The sequence below is a fragment of the Homo sapiens genome, chromosome 14 (genome assembly GCF_000001405.40).
Source record: "Homo sapiens chromosome 14, GRCh38.p14 Primary Assembly".
NCBI lineage: Eukaryota > Metazoa > Chordata > Mammalia > Primates > Hominidae > Homo > Homo sapiens.
The window spans coordinates 92,507,369-92,526,515 of NC_000014.9; the positions used below are offsets into that span (position 1 = coordinate 92,507,369).

The window sequence follows — 19,147 nt, forward strand, 5'->3', positions numbered from 1 at the left end:
GTGCACACCTGTCTGCAGACTGCCACCTGGGATGACAGCAGAAGCCCAGGCTGGGACTGTGGCTGAGAAGACCAGTGTGGGATCAGATTTCCCCTCAAACTGACTGGCTTGTTGCCACACCATAATTTCAAATGAACCACCCTGGTTTATTACACTGAAACACACTTGAGAACACATTTGATTTTCAGAGGAAGTAAATATCCCCAAAAAGGAGAAGCGAAACAAAAACAAATCACATCCTTACCCCCAAGTAGTTATGGAACATCTTTTTTGCTAAGCACACTATACAAGGAAGTGTCAGAGGCAGTCCTGGTCCTCCAAGCAAAAGACAGGCGAGCAGGATTAGCAATGATTAGCAATTGCAGCACCTCTCAATAGTGGGCACTTAAGTTTTCCTAGGCGGTGCAGGCATACCTCGGAGACATTGCAGGTTCGTTGGTGGTTCAGTTCCAGACCAATTCAATACAGCGAATATCACTTTATTGTGCAAGTCATATGTATTTTTTTGGTTTCCCAGTACATATAAAAGTTATATTTATACTGTAGTCTACTAAGTGTGCAATAGCAGTATATCTATTATGAGAAACCAATGTGCATACCTAAATTAAAATATGCTTTATTGCCAAAAAATGCTGAAAATCCTCTGAGCCTTTTTGCTGGTAGAGGGTCTTGCCTTGATGTTGATGGCTGCTAATAGATCAGGGTGGTGGTTGCTAAAGGTCAGAACGGCTATGGCAATTTCCTAAAATGAGACAAGAATAACGTTTGCTGCATCGAAGGACTCTTCCTTTCGTAAAAGATTTCTCTGTAGCGTGCAATGCTGCTTGATAGCATTTTACCCACTGTAGAACTTGTGTCAAAATTAGAGTCCATTCTCTCAAACCCAGCTGCTGCTTTATCAACTAAGTTTACGGAATATTACAAATCTTTTGTTGTCATTTCAACAATGTTTACAGTGTCTTCACCGGGAGTAGATTCTATCTCAAGAAACCACTTTCTTTGCTCATCCATAAGAAGCAACTCCTCATCCATTCATTTTATGAGATTGCAGCAATTCGGTCACATCCTCAGGATGCCCATGGAATTCTAGTTCTCTTGCTATTCCCACATCTGCAATGACTTCCTCCACTGAAGTCCTGAACCCCTCAAAGTCATCTACTAGGGTTGGTATCAACTTCTTTCATACTCCTGTTAGTACTGATATTTTGACCTTCTCCCATGAATCACAAATGTTCTTAATGGCATCTAGAATGGTGAGTCCTTTCCAGAAGGTTTTCAATTTACTTTGCCCAGATCCATCAGAGGAATCACTATATGTGGCAGCAATAGCCTTAGAAAATGTATTTCTTAAATTATAAGACTTGAAAGTCTAAATTATTCCTTGGCCCATGGGCTGCAGAATGAATGTTGGTGTTAGCAGGCATGAAAACAATGTTAATCTCCTTGTACATCTTCATCAGAGCTCATAGGTGATCAGGTGCATTGTCATTGAGCAGTCATATTTTGAGAAGAATCATTTTTTCTCTGCAGTAGGTCTCAACAGTGGGTTTAAATTTTCAGTAAACCAGATGTGCTCTTTACTGTAAACCAGTAAACAGATGTGCTGTCATTCAAGCCTTGTTATTTCATTTATAGAAATAATGAAATGTTATTTCATTTATAGAAATAGTGAAATGTTATTTCATTTATAGAAATAGTGAAATGTTATTTCATTTATAGGAAGAGTTGATTTAGCATGATTCTTAAGAGCCTGAGGATTTTCAAAATGGTAAATGAGCATTGGCTTCAACTTAAAGTCACCAGTTGCATTAGCCCTTAACAAGAGAGTTCAGCCTGTCCTCTGAAGCTTAGAAACCAGGTATTGACTCCTCCTCTCCAGCTGTGAAAGCCGTAGGTAGCATTTTCTTCCACTAGAAAGCTGTTGTGTCTCCACTGAAAATCTGTTGTTTAGTGTAGCCGCCTTCCTCAGTGATCTTAGCTAGATCTTCTGGATAACTTGCTGCAACTTCTGTATCAGCACGTGCTCCTTCACCTTGTACTTTATTTTTTATTTTTATTTTTTTAAATACCCCTTGGTGATCTGCACACCTTGTACTTTTATGTTATAGGATGACTTCTTTTCTTAAACCTCATGAACTAACCTCTGCTAGCATCAAACTTCTCTTCTGCAGCTTCCTCACCTCTCTCAGGCTTCAGAGAATAGAAGAGAGTTAAGACCTTGCTCTGACTAGGCTTTGGCTGAAGGGACTGTTATGGCTGGTTTGTTCTTCTATCCAGACCACTCAAACTTTTTCCAACTTAGCAATAAGACTGTTTTTCTTTCTTATCATTTGTGTGTTCCCTGAAGTAGCTTCCACCAGATAAGAAGCTTCCCCAATAATACAGTTTGGGGGCTGCTTGGAAAGCTGTTTGTCTTCTCAGCAACTTAGTACCCTCTCTCTGAGTTTGCCCACCCCTCACAGCCAAGATGGGTCCATGAGATTACTCCTCCTGAGAAGCGGGAACTGGGACTGTGAGGTGCTGATCAGTTTCAGTATAGCTGCAATAGAGACATGTACTCTTGGGAGTTGCAGGATGATCTCTCAGTAGAGGAGGGAAAGAGGTCTAGGACCTGCAGAGGGGGGACAATGAGGCAGAATCCCAGAGAGCCACGCTGAAGAAGGTCTCTATTGTCCCATGGGAGAGATCCCCAGCATGTCTATCTGGGCCCCCTCCCTTCCAGAACTGGGGGAATCCCTGACCACCCATGGGGACCACAAGGCACACCTATACCTGTGTCAGATTCACCTTCCTGCCACACAGAATCTCAGAACAGGCAGAGGTAAGAGATCCAGGCAGATGCCAGGCCAGCCCCTGTGGGGCAACTCGGCTCTCAGAGGTGCTTCTTTAGCCAGTACAATGTTTAGAAATTAGGGCCAGGCACAGTGGCGCAGTGGCTCACATCTGTAATCCCAGCACTTTGGGAGGCAGAGGCAGGTCGATCACCTGAGGTCAGGAGTTTGAGACCATCCTAGCCAAGATAGTGAAACCCCGTCTCTACTAAAAATACAAAAATTAGCTGGGCCTGGTGGCAGGTGCCTGTAATCCTGGCTACTGGGGAGGCTGAGGCAGGAGAATCACTTGAACCTGGGAGGCAGAGGTTCAGTGAGCCGAGATGGTGCCACTGTACTCCAGCCTGGGCAACAGAGTGAAACTCCGTCTCAAAAAAAAAAAAAAAGTTTAGAAATCGGAAACTTTCCATTAAAAATGCCAGATTTTCAGCATTTTTTAAACTGTAAGGGCTAGGGTGCTCAGGCCCTCATTCCTGTTGGACAGCTGTTGGTGAGAACGGAGAAGAGGCTGTCCCTTTTGCCTGGTTCCCAGTTGACCCCAACCCTACCCCGTCGGTGCAGTTTTATTTCCATCTGTCCTGAGGACACTGATTGATTTTGCAAAAACAGAGCTTGTCTCTGTCCGCCTCTCTTTTAAAGATTTCTCCAAATCTTTAAAATGGAGGAAATGGACATGTAAAACCTTGTTGGGGGTCAGAAGAAGATGGAACCCTCGCAAGATGAGCTGTTTTCTGATGATCTACTTTTGCCAAACAAAATATCCCAAACAGCAACCATTTTATTGGTCAGGAATTCAGAGCATGAGGACTTGGGAATGAAAAGAGGACCCAGGAAGAGAGCAGAGGGCAAGCTTGGCCAAGGTGCACCATGGGCCACAACCAAAAGGGGCTGCTCAGATTCTTGGAATTGTGACTGTCTCCTCTATGGTCATTTATCAGCAACAGGGTCATGGCGGGGCTCCATCTGGTGTCCACCTGAGGAATTCTGGCTTCTCAGAGCAGGTGAGCATTGGGGCTAGGCCCATGGAAGCCAGGCTTTAAGAGACTTGTCCTGTGTTTCTCAGCAGTGATCCAGGGAGCTGAAGGAAACCTTTCAGATCAGCCTGGGAGGGGGCTGAAGGACTGTTCTAGGTGCAGTAGTTATATAGACCGCTTCCCTGGGGTCCAGGGAGGCCTGAGAGTGGCCTGCAGACTTGTTTTAGAAACAACTAAGGAATAATAATGGGGCCCTGGAGGCAGGGGTCTTCTTGTCCATCTCATTTGTACTCACTGTGTTTATAGATGAGCAAGATGAGCCTTTGGGAAGAGACTTGCTCAAGGCCACCCACCCAGAAGCCGCTGGGGTTGAAGTTGAACATGGGTCTGTCCGCAAAGCCCATGTTTTCAAACAGGGCTTTGAAACCCTTGGAAACATGTTACAGCCCTGTTGAGGGAGACGGCGGAGGAGATGACTCATTCCCATCCAGGAGGAAATAATTCAGCCTCTGGAGGAGAGGAAAAGTCAGTGGGGGGTGGTTATGACCTAACGAAGGGAACCTGTAGGAATCTGGGCAGAGGGGGAAGGGGTGTGAGCTGGAGTAGTCAGGGTGGCCTCCTGGAGGCTGTACTTTTTCCCCCCCTTAAAAAAAAATAACAGCTTTATTGAGGTATAATTTGTATACTGTACAATTCACCCACTTACAGCATACAATTCAATGGTTTTTACTGTAGCCAGAGTTGTGCAACCATCACTACAATGAATTTTAGAACATTTTCATCACCCCATAACTCTTAGCAGTCATTCCTCATTTTCTTCTCTTCCCCAGGATTCTGACAATCACTAGAGTATTTTCTGTCTCTCTGGACTTGCCTATACTGGACACTTCATATAAATGGAATGTGGTCCTTCGTGACTAGCTTCTTTCACTGAGCATAATGCTTTTGAGGTTTATGCATGGTGTAGCATGTGCCAGTACTTCATTCCTTTTCATGGCCTAATAATATTCCACTGTATGGATGTATCACATTGTGTTTATCCATTTGTCAACTGATGACATTAGATTGTTTCCACCTTTTGGCTAGTATGAACAATACTACTCTTTATAGTAGTATTATATACTATATATATAGTATATACTATTATAAACTTATACATGAACACTCATGTATAAGTTTTTGCATGAACATGTTTTCATTTTTCTTGGCTACATAACTAGGAATGCAATTACTGGGCCATATGCTTAACTTGACGTTTAACTTTTTGAGGAACTGCTAGACTCTTTTCCAAAGTGGCTGCACCATTTTACATCCCAGGGGGAAGGCTGGACTTTTCGTGTATGCTCAGATGTGAATTCTTTTCTTTCTAACTTCTAGAAGGCAGGCTGATTTGGTGGAAATCCAGGGAAGATGGAGGAGGAGGGTGTGAGGAGAGAGCAGCAGGGCAGAGAGGCCTGGGGATCCTTTCACCAGAGCCCTGGGCTCAGTCCTGTCTGGTCCTCACTTGCCATATGGCCTTGAGCAAGTCACCTCCACTCTCTAGGCCTCAGTTTCCTTATCTCTAAAATGATGGTATTAGACCTCGACGATTTTGCCCCCGGAGGACACTTGTGATATCTAGAGACATTTCTGGTCGTTACAGAGAGAGGCTGATGCTATGGGTATTTTATGAATCATGGAGAGGCCATGGATACCGTTAAACCTCCTGCAGTTTTGAAGGAGGTTTAATAACAAAGCATTAGCTGGCCCCAATAACAAAGCATTAGCCCCAATAACAAAGCATTAGCCGGCCCCAAATGGCAGTAGCGGCCAGGTAAAGAAATCCTGCATGAGACTGAGGTGACCTAATAGGGTCCAGTCCTGCTCAGTCACTCTGGGAAATGCTCTGGGAAAACACTGGGCTCGGGAGGCATTTTTGAACACCCAGGCACTTAGAAGAGGCCTCACGGTCCCACCTGGGGTTGCTGTGGGTCTTGCATTTGTGTCAGCTGTCTGGCGTTCTCCATCTGCGGTACCCGGCACAGGTGAATTAGATGCCAGGCTTGATGGACGAGCAGTCCGCCTTGTTGAGGAGTGAGCTCCTTGTCACGGGAAGCATCCAAGAGGAGGCGGCGTGCACATCTGTCAGGAATGTGGAGGAGGCGCCCTGGCTCTGGTCTGAGGTTGCCCTTGAACGATTTCGAGGCTCCCTCGGGCAAGGCTGTGGCTCCGAGTGGGACGAACTCCCCGCCAGCTCTGGGCCTCCCCACCTGCCGGCCCGCGGTCGGCGCCGGCACAGGCGGAGGGCGTCTTCCTTCCCCTGCGGCCCCAAGCCAAGTGGAAGACTTTTCTCTAAGTTTCCCTCTCCGAAGCCCCGCGGGCCTCCCGCGCCCCAGCCCCAGCCACAGCCTGTGGAGGCGGCACCCCGAGGTTGGGCGCCCGTGCGGCGCCTTGGCCCCAGCACCCCCCGCCCCGAGGCCCGGCCCCGGGGGCGCGGCCGCCCGGGCCTCCGTGTGCCCCAGGGGGCTCCGGGCCGCGAGCCGCTGCCGAATGGCTTTTGACAAAAAAACCCTTGACCACCAAGGCCAGCCTCTTCCTGAAAGCCCCGCTCGCTCCGATACAGGAAGTAGAAGGGAGCGAGAGCCCCAGAGCGCGGCGGCAGCGGCGGCCTGGCCCTTCCAGAGGGCCAGAGCCAGGGACATGCGGGCGCCCGGGACTCCGCGTTCCGCGCGGCCCGGCGCCTGAGCGCCTCCGTTCCCCGTCCCGGAGCTGCCGGCGGCATGATCCGACACGCCGGGGCGCCCGCGCGCGGGGACCCCACGGGGTAAGTCCGGGCGGCCGCCCCCTCCTCCCTCGCGATCCCCACGGCCCGCGTCCTGGCCGCCCCACTCCACTTCTTGTCCCAGAGAGTCCTTCGGGCGCGTGACCTCGGGGTTGTCGGGCTGATACGGGACCCCCACCGTGGCCGAGGCCAGAACCTGGTTCTGCGGGGCAGGGGGCGGCCCTGGTGACTCCGCTGGACCCGATGTTGGCTAAACTTTCAAGGCCAGGCATTTCACTGGGAACCCAGTGCACACTTTAGGCTGCTGGTGGACGGATTACGAGGGAGTGCGTCGCTACCTGTCAGCGCCGGGGCTGCCCGCGTGGACGCGGCCCCCTCCCTGGCGTCTGCCCCGCCTGAACTTTGCAAACAAAACTCGCGGTCCCAGCCCCGCCAGCCTGCTGCACCCGCTGCTCTGCGAGTCGCAGCGCGCGCCCTCGGGTACTAGAGCCCCGCTGGGCGTGGGGTCGGAGACCCGGACCCCCGCAACTTTGGGTGCCCGCGGCCCAACAGCTGACCGGCCCTCCTGGACCGAGGGTCCACTGGGCCCTTTTCCCGCCGCCCCTCTGCCCTGGCCGTAGACGGTGACCTTCGGACCGGCCCTGGTCGAGCCTAGTGCTTGGGTAGGGTCCAGGGCGCACGGGCTGCGCGCGGGCTGTGGATGCATGACGCCGAATGGTTTGGGAACTGACTTGGAGAGGAGTCCCCGGTGGCTAAGTCCCCGCTCCGCCTCCTTGTCGCCCCCAGCCCCACCTCGCGAGCTCGGGCATTGCTCGGGGCTGGGCTCTGGGAGAAAGTCCTCTCGCCTTGCCCAGCTCAGAGGGCGTCCTGAGAAGCTTCAGGTGTTGTAGAGACGCCCGGTCGGAGGCGGATTCCCGGGGAAAGCCTATTTCTGGGTACCCAGGAGCGCGTCTGGGGAGGCCATTCCCAGCTTTTTGGTTTAAAAGTCCCGGGCCTACTTCTCTGATGGACACCCTGCCGCTCCCTGGCTTGGCAGTGGGACCTCATCTCCCAGGCCCTCAGTTCTCTGCTCTGTGAAACAGGAGAGTTGGGCCCATCTTGTGCAGTCCTGAACTGGGGGACAGCTGGAGGTGACTGGCTCTCACTCAGCTGGGAGGGACTGGGAGGGGGCCTTAAGCTCATCTAGATCTGAACGTCTCCCTTCCCTTCTTCTCCCTCCATCCTGCCAGCCCGGAAATTCTGGATGCTGGTTTCTTTCTCTCGAAAGCGACCTCTGCAAAGACAAATACCATCCGGTGGGAAGAACTGGGAATCCGTTGGGGAAGAGCCCCCCAACCCTCACACCCACTTGCAAGTATCTGCCACACCCAAGATGGCAGGGTGAAGCCGGAGAGGAGTTTCTCAGGGAGGAAGGGGAGGTGAGGGGCCAGGGCGCTGGCCTCACCGGCTTCTCATTTTCCCCAGAGATGACCTAGTGTGATCCACTTCCTCTTGTCTTTTTTTGTTCATTACTGGGTCGGTTATTTAAACTCTCTGTATCTCAGTTCACTTATCAATAAAATGATAAATAATAGTAACTACCCCTTAGAGTTGTTTTGAGGACTAAATACACAGAGTTGAATACATTAGACTATATGGTAAACCCTTAATCATAATTATCACCATTATTATCATTTGTTGGGTATGATCCCTCCATTTGCCAAATGTGTAACCTTAGACAAATGACCCGGCCCCTGCCTCACCTGTAAACTGGGGGTGCTAGCAACACACACCACATAGAATTGTTTCGTGGATTGGCTGAGTTCATAGCTAAGTAGCTGCCCCCAGGCAGCTTAGGGGAAACATCCGTTCAGGCCTGCTTAGAACTGTGCTTGGTACATTCTAGCACTGTATGAATATTGGTTTGTTGCTAAAACATGGCTTTGTTTTGGAGGACCTTTTGGGTTGGAAGGACTTTGAAGGGTAGAGGATTTGCTGATGGATTGGAGGGAGAGAGGAGTGGAGGATGACTCTGGTTGGGCTCTGTCTGCCCAGGGTCCAGTGCATCAGGGACAGATGCCGAACTGTGCGGAGTCTGCTGAGAGTGGGTTCTCAGAGTCCACTCAGGCCAGTAGCTTTCAGGGGGTAGGGAGAGACCTAGCAGGCACCCCCATGCAGCCCCACCATAGCAACTAGACCAGTCACCTTTTCACATTTTTGCTATATTAAAGGTCTGCTTAAGATTTCATTTGGAAAAGGATTCCACTGCTGGAAAAAATGTGGCTGTCATTGACCTAATCAATCCCCTAATTTAACAATGAGGAACCAGAAACCCAGAAAGGGGAAATGGGTTCCCTGGTATTGGGGGAGGTGGTGGTGGAACTCATGTCTCCTGAGCCTTGGCCTGATCTAATACAGGGGTCCTGCTGGAGCCCTGAAGAGGAGCCCCTTAACCACTCCAGGCTGAGACAGGGGGCTCTTCTGGGTGGGGCCCACCTACAGCAGGGCCAGTGATGGATTCAGGGTGTGAGCTCGTAGCTCCAGCTCTGTCCCTTGACCTTGGCTTCCTGGATTCAAGGAGCTAATGTTCCCTGGAGGTCCTGACTGGCACTTAGCTAGGAGACCTAGCCCTTTCCAGATCCTAACAGAGGCTCTGATGCACAGGAGCAAAGGGTCACCTCACCATCTCAAGTCTGCTCTCCTGCCCCCCCACCCCGAGAAGCCCCAGTACATCCTCTGAGAAGCAGCTGGGAGTGCAAGGGGCTGGGGGTGCAGGGTCCCCTTGGGTTGAAGGAGTCGCAGCACATTTATCCCTGAGGCCCTCCTCATCTCCCCTACCCCCTTGGTGCCCCTCTATCCTGGCCCTGGGTCCCTGATCTGTGATCTTCACTGAAGCTGCAAGTGTGAAAAGCTTGAAATGCCACAGGGCACCCGCATTTTAACCCAGGAGATACAGAAATCAAAACTGGAAACCTACCAGGAATTGATCTCAGCTGGAAGCAGAGAGAGGCATGATATTTGAAGGAGGACACCCAGACCCTTCACCATCCCCTTAGGCCTCCCTGGAGCTCCATTTTGGAGACAGGAGTCTGAGGTGGTCTGTGGTGCCTCCCAGTCCCTTGCCAGAGCAGAGACGGAAAGAATGGGTGACAGATGGCCACAAACTCTGTCTCTGTAACCCCCTGGAAGATTCCACCTGTCATGGCAAGACATGGCAAGCTGTGTCATCTAGGCAGTGATGAGTGAGCACCATTGGGTGGGCAGCTCGGAGGAGGGGAGTGCCTGAGCAAAGGTTCGGGAGGTGGGAAAGTGTGGTGGAGGGGCTTGTGGGGCAGGGAGTGCACCCTTCAAAACCCAGAGGTACATGACACACATTGCTTTACAAAGCGACTGTTATCAGATAACAGGGGTTGAGGAAACGGAAGACAAATTTTGTCTGGGGAGAGAATTACAGAAGAGGGGCAAAAGTATAAAGGGGGCTGCCCACAGAACCCCATCCTTGGGGCCTGGGTCACCTAGGGGATTGGGGGCATCTGTGTGTTCAGAAAGAGCCTTAACATGGGGTAAATGACACCCAAGGCCCCTTAACTTCCTGTTGGCCCCCAGCTATCTGATCCTATTAGGGAGTAACCTTTAGAAGAGAGTGGGGGGCCATGCGTTATCATCTTGTTATTGGGTAATTGATTGGTGCTGCTCTGATGGCCAACTCCAGAATGTCCTGTTGATACAACTATTGCCCCGAACCAGCATTTATTCTGAGAACCAGGAAGTCGAATTTCTCCTGCCCACCAGGAGTGTCTGAAACATGGATGTTTTCCCCCAAGATTGGAGCCAAAGATGAAAATCACAACTTTAATGACTTCCAAACTGGATCTCCCCTCCGTCCTACCCCACAGTGGGCCCTTCTGGTGGTTTGGTTGTTGCCAATCAAGCTAGAGGGACTCTCAGGCCAGGCAGGGAAAGTGGTGTGTCCCCCAACAGCTCCCTAATTGCCCTCAGGTGACATGCTGTCCTATTTAAAAGGTCCCTCAAGAAAGTCCTGCCCTCTGTACCCCAGCCCAGCCCTGCTGGAAGCCAGTGTACAGCTTCACATCTTCTGTCCTCTCCAACGTGCAGAGCTTGTCTGTGGTCTTGTACCTTTGCCCATGAGGTTCTTTCTGCCCTTTTTACAGGGCTCACCTCTTCCATGTAGCCTTCTATCCATGCCAGCTCACAGAGATTCCTCCTTTTTGAATATTCATAGCCTTTTTCACATGAACCGCTTGTTTGCCTAGCAATTTGAAAGAAGCCAAAACCTCTTTAATATCATGACTTCCTACTTCAGTTACAAACTTCCAAAGAAAGGGGTCAGGTCTTTTAGTTCCATATCCTTGTGTCCTACATGCACTTGGCACTCCATAAATGCTTGAGGCCAATGATACGCTGATTGAAGGCTGCACAGCCTTTTCTTTTGTGTCCCTGGAGCCCCTGAATTTCTGGAGGTGTTTACAAGGTGGCCTAGATCACAGGGCGGGGCTAAGTAGGGGGAGACCCAGGGCTTGGGGGGCTAGGAGCCCAACTCCATTCCGCAGCAGCTGGTGACCCCCACCACAAGGCTACCACACTCCTCTCCAAGTCTGGAAAGCAGAGGCCACCCAGGCAATTGAGTAGGGACCCTGCTTGGCCCCAACTCCCCTAATTTTATCCTCCCCAGCTGTGCTCCTGATACTTGTCAGGGAGAAAGGATGGGGGAAGGAGAGGCCAGCCCTGGATACTGTGTCTCAGCCGGAAGAATGGAGAATAGCTTGGTGTACAGACTTGGGGGAGCCCTGGGGCATCAGTGGGTCCCAAATGCGGGTCTCTGGACCACTGAGAAACTGGGAAAATAAGGGTGGCCTGTGTGTGTGTGTGTGTGTGTGTGTGTGTGTGTGTGTCAGCATCAGTGTCAGCCATGGCTGCCAACGTGTCTTTTCTTAGGCAGAACTGTCCTTTGCTGGTTTGGAAGAGGCGTGGGTGTTTGCATGTTGTAGGTCATCAGTAGGGCTAGAGAATCTGGGGTCCTGTCTCCTCTAGTATTTTAGGATTTTATTCTAGGAAGCTGCTCCCTTCCCTCTGGACCTCATTTTCCCATCTGAGAAAAGAGCTCCATGTTCTCAAGGTCCCTGCTCGCTCTGACAGTCGGCTCCCTGAGTTACCAGCTAGCAGGCAACGGAAGCTGGTGTCCTAGAGTAATAGCATTCAGGGGATCAAAGTGCCCATTGGAGCTGAAGTGGCCCATGGAACAGTCTAGAACATGCAGGCACTTTCACAAGAAACAAAGACCCATCCAGGAGACTTTTGGCTCATTACCCTGACCAAGCTACCTGGAAGGAAATGGTTTTTCTTTTTCTTTTTGTTATTGCTGTGGTTTTATTTTGAAAAACCTAGTCTTGAAAAAAGTACATTTGGTTTTGGGAGCCCACTTTGGGGCAGGACCCATGGCTCCTTGCCAAGTGGACAGTGAGCTGGGAAGGTTTCTCAGGCGGGGAGCCCTGGTGTGGCTGGAGTAGCCTCTCGAGGGTGGCTGGGCTGGTAAGGTGGAGCCTGCCTGGCCATCAGCTGTGGGAGCTGTGGAGGTGCTGAGGAGATCGCAGACAGCCGGGGATACGGGGCCTGGCTGTTTAGAGACCGTCTGTGAAGCCTGCCCCTGTCAGGGTTGGAGTCTGAGGGGCGGCCCTACCAACAGAGGATGAGACAGGTGTCCAGGCTGAGGGATGGCGCTCTCTGCCAGGCCTCGGTCTCCCTGCCCAGGGCTGCCCAGAGATAGCCAACGCGTCCCTGTGCAGGTGGGGGCGGCAGTGACGCTGTGTGCCTCCCTCCCCACGCACAGTGTAGTACAGCGAAGCCAGTCCGTCCCTCCTGCCAGCGTGGCCTTGATGGAGAAGAGAGGAGTGACGGGTACATGGGAGGCCTTCCCTCAGCCTGGCGTCCACAGGGCAGTGGGAAGGCATTACTATCTGTGTGGTGTCAGCGTTTATACAAGAGTCTGGAAGCCACCACTGTGTCCTCTCCTCTACTCTCCTGCCAGTAGGGCCTCTGTGCAGCCTTGGCATGTTTCCTCTCCACAGGGGTAGGGGTTGGAGGGACTGCCCCCAAAGCAGAAACAGTGCTGATAGTCAGAAGCTTTGAACATGGCTGCAGAACCCCCTGCCCCAATTTGACCTCAGTAATACCCAGGGGTGCCCCCACCTCAACCAGTACATGTTTAATGGAATGAACGAGCCTGCAATGAAATGTCGGTTCTCTTTTTAGCAGAAATGGCCTAGGCCGTGGTTGTGGTCAAGGCCTGTTGTCTGTAAGTGACGTGACGGCACACACTCAGGCCACATCCTATGGGGTAATGGTGCTTGCATCCCCACCTTCTGGAACTGAGAGAGCCCCAGAGCCTGGCTCTACACACAGGCCTGGAGCCATGGGGAAGCAAGGATTCCAGTAGAGGGGGGTGGGAGTGGGGCCTTTGAGCCCATCCTCGAGGGGCTGCCCTAGGGGGGCTCTCCTAGAGGATACTCCCCTGTGAAGGTGGCCTCCATTTTGCTACTGACTCTGGGACGTTTAGCAAAGCTGAGAACTTTTTATTCCCTAGTTAAGAGATGCGCCACCCTACCTCCCGACTGACATTTAACACGGGGTGTCAGGCACTGATGCGAAAGCCTGTTCTCTGAAAGATAAGCTGGAGAGAGGGGTGGACAGAGGGCACCCCAACAGTAGCAGAGAAGCCTTCCCCTCCTCCAAAGTTTCCCAGAGCTAAATTGTTCTGTGAGTCAGTAAGTGTGCTTCTTCACCCATCTTCACGGACTGAAGAAATAAAGGGCTTTGCATCTGAAATTCACAATCTGATGATCTCTGGCTACAGGGAACAAGCTGTCAAGAAAGAGTCACCGGGGACCTTTTCCCCTAACCTCCATGTTCCCAGCTTCCTTAATCTCAGTCAATGTCAGAGATTGATAATGTAAATTTCTCTAGGGATGTTGCAGTTCAAAGCAAGGACTTATCTCTCTACCGATGGCATCTGGTGACAGCATTTATTATCGTTGCTTCTTTCTGTTCTTGACATTTTTGACGGAGCATCCATCTAAACTATACTCAAGGACTCTTCTCGCAATGGATATCTTCTCATTTATCTTCACCCATCCTCCTAATCATCATCCAGACATCCACCTGTCCATTCTATTCACCATCCATCCATCTAGCCATCTACTTATCCACCCATCCATCCATACATCCACCCATCAACCCACCCTTCATCCATCCATCCACCTATCCACCCATCGACCTATCCACCCTCCCACGCTTCTATCCATCCATTTATCTATCCATCCATGCATCCATCCATCCATCCACTCACCTACCCTTCCATCCTTCCATCTATCAATCCATCTATTTACTGAGCACCTGAACACCTAGGAGTTTCCAGTTTATCTACTAAGGAAAATGATTTGATTTGGATGTTTGTCCCCTCCAAATCTCATGTTGAAATGTGATCCCCAGTGTTGGAGGTAGGGCCTGGTGGGAGGTGTTAGGGTCATGGGGGCAGATCCATCATGAATGACTTGGTGCCATCCTCACAGTAATGAGTGAGTTCTCAGTTCACATGAGATCTGGTTGTTTACAAGAGCCTGGCACCTCCCTGCTCTCTCCCTCTTGCTGCCTTTCTCGCCATGTGACATACCTGCTCCCCCTTCCCCTTCCACCATGATTGGAGGCTTCCTGAGCCTCACCAGGAGTAGATGCTGGCACCATACTTCTCATACAGCCTGCAGAACCATGAGCCAAAATAAACCTCTTTTCTTTGTAAATTACCCAGCCTCAGGTATTCCTTTATAGTGAGGCAAAATGGACCAACACAGAAAATAAGAGAAATATGTGCGTATTTAAAGCACAGGGTACTGTATAAAAAGCTGCCGAACTTCTGTTACAGTTGGCTGTGCAGAGTGAGTAGGGAGGACTCCTTGACAGAGCTGGCATGTGAATTGGATCTTGAAAGATACGTAGGATTTTAACCACTGAAATCAAGCATATGCAGAGAAGCGTATTGCAGATAGGAGAAACGCACCGAGTGGGAAAGGACAAGTTGTGTGTGGGAGCCCTAAGAATCTGGGGTGGGGGCAGAGAGAAGATTCCATGTGTGATGGGCCTGGAAAGGTGGTTGGGGCCCCCTTGGCTATGGGTGGGCAAGTTTGACTTTTACCATGGTGGTGAAGACCACAGTTCTGTTCTTCCGGGCAAGACACTGAAACAGAACCTGCCAGAGCACCTTCTTCCCCCTCCTCTGTTAGGTAAAAGTCAATCTCTATAGCCCACTGTTGTTGCCAGGGTTACCTGAGATGATGATGTTCTTGTCTCTTTGGGTTGTGAGACCGGTGGGGGGCTCTCACCTGTATGTATGTGGTGTGTGTGTGTGTGTGTGCATGTGCTATTGATTTTCCAAAAAATGTATTATAGACTTTAAAAGTTCATACACAGACACACCCAAAACAGGGAAATTTAAAGCATCAAACATTTTTATCACCCGGTGCAAGTACGTGTTACCTTGTATTCTTTTTTCACTGAGTGTTACCTCTGGTACACATTCCTGTGTGCTGTGTTGTGGACCTATGTTGCCTACCTGCCATCTTCGATGGTGTCATCATATTATGATCATTTTAATGGTCAGAGTTATTTCATGTGTCTATCTTGACTTCTTTCCAAGTCCCCTCTGTTTTAAATGAAACTCCTGAAAACTTCTGTGGATCTAGGGTTTAGGGACCATTTCCTTGAGATCTGTCACCATCCTGGAGCCTTTGAGTCCAAGAGTGAAGCAGAGCCTGCTGATTGGCCCCTGAATTTTTGCTGGGTGTAAGTTTTAGCTGAACATTTCCCAATTTTCTTGCAGCTAGGTGTGGCCATATGACTAAGTTCAGGACAGTGAGATATAAGTGGGGAGTATAATTTGCTTGGAGAACCCCTTAATGGGGGTGTCCTTCTCTCCTTTCCTCTCTCCTGTTGCCTGAAATACAGATGTGATGGCTGGAGTTGAAGTGGCCATCTTGGACTCTGAGACAAACTTAAGCATAGAAGCTATGCAGGATAGAACAACAATATATTATAGTAAGGGTCCCAAACATGTCAGACCATCATCCCAGCTACAGACTGCTTACCAGTTTTTTATGAGAGGAATACATACTATCTTGTTTGTTTGTTTTATTTTATTTTATTTTTGAGATGTAGTTTTGCTCTTGTCACCCAGGCTGGAGTGCAGTGGCGATCTTGGCTCACTGCAACCTCTGCCTCCTGGGTTCAAGCAATTCTCCTGCCTCAGCCTTCCGAGTAGCTGGGATTACAGGTGCCTGCCACCACTCTTGGCTAGTTTTTGTATTTTTAGTAGAGACGGGGGTTTCACCATGTTGGCCAGGCTGGTCTTGAACTCCTGTCCTCAGGTGATCCACCCATCCTGGCCTCCCAAAGTGCTGGGATTACAGGCGTGAGCCACCGTGCCTAGCCATACTATCTTGTTTTAATTTCTTATTTTAGATTTTCTATCACTTACAAGCTTAGTTCTAATGAACACAGAGAGCTTTCTATCTCTGTCACATAGCACCAGATTATATGCCCGAAGTACTCAGCTGCTTTGCAGGGCGACCTGCAAGTCCCCATTTCCTAGTGGAGGCAAGAAGGAGGAAGAGAGGGGAGAGAGAAGAGGCAGCTTTGCATCCACTAAGGCTCTTGTTTCAAGGACTAGATTGCAAACATTTTTTTTTCATATTAAGTGTTTATGAGTTTTAGATTTTGCCAGAAGCTTTGAACTGTTTATTCTGACTCTCAAATCCTTGTGCTTTGACAGGGCTAGGTTTGCTGCTCAAGGCAGCCATGCCTCTTCCCCCAGCCTCAGTTCTGTGCTTTAGGCTGAGAACTCGCCTAGGTTAACCCTCCCCATGCCAGTGTTCTCCAGCTCCTCCTGAGAGTTGGTGTCCCCGCCACACCAGCACAAGAAAGGCCTGGAGACCGGGTGCAGTGGCTCATGCCTGTAATCCCAGTGCTTTGGGAGGCTGAGGTGGGAGGATCTCTTGAGGCCAGGAATTCAAGACCAGACTGGGCAACACAGCAAGACCCCGTCTCTACAAAAAATTTTATAAATGAGCTGGGCATGGTGGTGTGCACTTGTAGTCACAGCTACTCGGGAGGCTGAGGCAGGGGGATCTCTCGAGCCCTGGAGTTCAAGGTTACAGTGAGCTGTGATCACACCACTGCACTTCGGCCTGGGTGACAGAGTGAGATCCTGTCTGTATCCAAAAAACTAAACGAAAATAAAGACCCGGGGCCCAGTTTCAACAATGCCTGTGTTCTTGCCGGATGCTGCCGTCACTCATTCATTCACTGTCTCTTCGTTGAAACAGTCTTGGGGTCTCTTGGGCCGTATCTTGGCACTTGCTGAGTGTCAAGCTTGTTTTATGCTGACCACTGGCCACTGGGAGTCTTCAGTGGCCACTTCACCTCTTTGCCTAGCCTTGGGAAAGGTTTGTCCTGAAACTGCTGGACTTGAATTCCCCTTTCCAGGGACAGCACAGGCCTGTTCTGAGCCTGTAAGAGCCTGCCTGGAGCTGCTCAACAACAGCCTAAGACCACTCCTGGGGCATAAGAGGCCCCAAGAATGGCCTGGGATTTAGCTGGGTGGGCTGTCTGGAGGAGCTGGGCCAGAGCCCGTTGAAGTGGCCTGAAGGACAGTGAGGGTCTTGTTTCCACTGGGCAAGGCTTCCCCAGCCCTAGCTCTGCAGTCCTCAGGCGTCAGAGCTTCGTGCCACTCTGGAAACTCTTCATCCAGCCCCTGCTTGCAGATGAATTGGTGGCTCAGAGAGGGGAAGTGGTTTCCCCAGGGTCTCCGGACCTGTGGGCTGTCTCCAACCAAGGCTGTCTCCAAGGCTTGTGCAGCACCCAGGCCGCTCCATGGCACGAGGCCCCAGAGATGGAATGTGGGCACATCTGCCTTCACTAGCTGCCTCCCTCTCTAGCCTCTGGAAGGGGCTGAGCTCTTTCCTGCCTCTGGGCCTAAGTGCAAGTGTCCCACCTCTACCTCTTGCAAGAAGCCTCCCAGGCTGTGTGAGGCCTGCAGGGCCGCTGTACACCGTTGCGCAGGTTGTTTACTGCTCACGTGTTCCTGGCTGAGGCAAAGCTGGGTAGGGGCTGAACTTTCATTCTCTTGCCAAGCCTTGTGTCATGGTAGGTGTGTATGGGGGTGGGGTGGGGGTTGGCCTGCACCCATGGGCAGCAAGGAGCACCCTCTTCTAATTTATGCAGAGGCACCCTACAGGCTACCAAGGACCCCAGCCACAGAAGAGCCGGCAGCACAATGGGCGCTCGCCCCTGATGCCTGTGGCAGCTCATTCTGTGTGTAGCCCCACTAGACTGTAAGCTCCCACCAGCAGGGACAGTGGCTCTTCCTGGCAGGGTGTGGGGGGATGGTATTGCCAGGTCAGCACCATAAAGGGCACAGAATGCTCCACCAAGAACACTGGTGCTGAGCGAGAGATTGAGGGGAGGGAAGGAGGATCTAGTGCAGGGCTCGGTAAGTGTTTGCTGAGTTAATATATGGTGTGTTGATGCCAAAGAGGGGGGTGAAAGGGAAGTGCCCAGGACAGAGGGCCTCTGGGAGAGGGAATGGGGCCCACTAGGAGGCCTGCCAGGGTGGAGGGGACTGTGAGCTGTGAACATCTGAGAAACAGGGTGGGCCGCCAAGGGAGAGGGTCCAGCCACAGGAACAGTGCAGGGTCGGCCACAGTGTTGGGGAGGTGCCAAAGCCCCCAATTCCCCTCAGCCATAGACTCTCAGGCAGCGTCAGGCCCTGGAGCCCCGCTGTGGCCTGCATGGCACTGCACCAGCCAGAATGTGATCACCCATCCTTGTCCCAGGGACCCTCAGTCTTGTGGGGACGCAGGAGTGATAGGCAGTGCTGTGGCCACAGGGTGCAGGATGGTCCTATGGAGTGCCGGGGGTCCCTGGCTGGCTGAAGGGCATCCTGCTCAGACTGGGGTGGCATCTGGGGAAACTTTTCCTGCGGCATGAGAGCCACACAAAGCCATGCCTGGGAGTTTCCCAGGTAAACTCGTGGTGGGGGTGGAGGGGCTGCTGCAGGCTCCGTGTGCCTGTCATTGACAATCTTCTGGACGGACAGGAGAGGTGACCAGATAGCAGAGGCTCTTGGGCTGTATCCTGAAGGCAATGGAGACTATAGGCAGGAATTTTTACCCCATTTAAAAAACTGAGCTATTGCCCGGGCGAGGTGGTTCACGCCTGTAATCCCAGCACTTTGGGAGGCCGAGGCAGGTGGATCACTTGAGCTCAGGAGTTCGAGACCAGCCTGGGCAACATGGCGAAACCCCGTCTCTACTAAAAAATTTTTTAAAATTAGCTGGGCGTGGTGGTGCATGCCTGTAGTCCCAGCTACTTGGGAGGCTGATGCGGCAGGATCAGTTGAGCTCGGGAGGCAGAGGTTGCAGTGAGCTGAGATCACACCACTGCACTCCAGCCTGAGTGACAGAGTGAGACCCTGTCTTAAAAAAAATAAATGGGCCGGGCGCAGTGGCTCAAGCCTATAATTCTAGCACTTTGGG

The 19,147-nt window shown here is 51.2% G+C and overlaps 1 protein-coding gene and 1 long non-coding RNA gene across 2 annotated transcripts in view, besides 6 other annotated features; both read left to right on the forward strand.

The window, feature by feature from the left end:
* Positions 6,017-6,336: a silencer, noted in NCBI's record as "silent region_6034". NCBI's record gives its function as "represses an Ori minimal core promoter by ATAC-STARR-seq in GM12878 lymphoblastoid cells {active_cell/tissue: GM12878}" and the evidence as "EXISTENCE:reporter gene assay evidence [ECO:0000049][PMID:35858748]".
* Positions 6,413-19,147, forward strand: part of RIN3 (Ras and Rab interactor 3) — a 175,214-nt gene continuing 162,479 nt past the window's right edge. Inside the window, exon 1 of the mRNA NM_024832.5 lies at positions 6,413-6,608. Coding sequence (NP_079108.3) covers positions 6,565-6,608 — 44 coding nt within the window. The 5' untranslated portion in view covers positions 6,413-6,564. The remainder of the gene's footprint in view (positions 6,609-19,147) is intronic.
* Positions 6,877-6,926: a silencer, noted in NCBI's record as "silent region_6035". NCBI's record gives its function as "represses an Ori minimal core promoter by ATAC-STARR-seq in GM12878 lymphoblastoid cells {active_cell/tissue: GM12878}" and the evidence as "EXISTENCE:reporter gene assay evidence [ECO:0000049][PMID:35858748]".
* Positions 6,957-7,006: a silencer, noted in NCBI's record as "silent region_6036". NCBI's record gives its function as "represses an Ori minimal core promoter by ATAC-STARR-seq in GM12878 lymphoblastoid cells {active_cell/tissue: GM12878}" and the evidence as "EXISTENCE:reporter gene assay evidence [ECO:0000049][PMID:35858748]".
* Positions 6,957-7,462: a biological region, named in NCBI's record as "H3K27ac-H3K4me1 hESC enhancer GRCh37_chr14:92980671-92981174".
* Positions 6,959-7,462: an enhancer, noted in NCBI's record as "H3K27ac-H3K4me1 hESC enhancer chr14:92980671-92981174 (GRCh37/hg19 assembly coordinates)". NCBI's record gives its function as "activates a minimal SCP1, AML or CMV promoter by ChIP-STARR-seq in naive H9 embryonic stem cells {active_cell/tissue: H9 hESC(naive)}" and the evidence as "EXISTENCE:reporter gene assay evidence [ECO:0000049][PMID:30033119]".
* On the forward strand, positions 7,006-8,143 carry LOC124903365 (uncharacterized). The gene is made up of 2 exons (XR_007064310.1): positions 7,006-7,228; positions 7,796-8,143. It is a non-coding gene; the product is annotated as an uncharacterized LOC124903365 (long non-coding RNA).
* Positions 17,273-18,096: an enhancer, noted in NCBI's record as "H3K27ac-H3K4me1 hESC enhancer chr14:92990985-92991808 (GRCh37/hg19 assembly coordinates)". NCBI's record gives its function as "activates a minimal SCP1, AML or CMV promoter by ChIP-STARR-seq in primed H9 embryonic stem cells {active_cell/tissue: H9 hESC(primed)}" and the evidence as "EXISTENCE:reporter gene assay evidence [ECO:0000049][PMID:30033119]".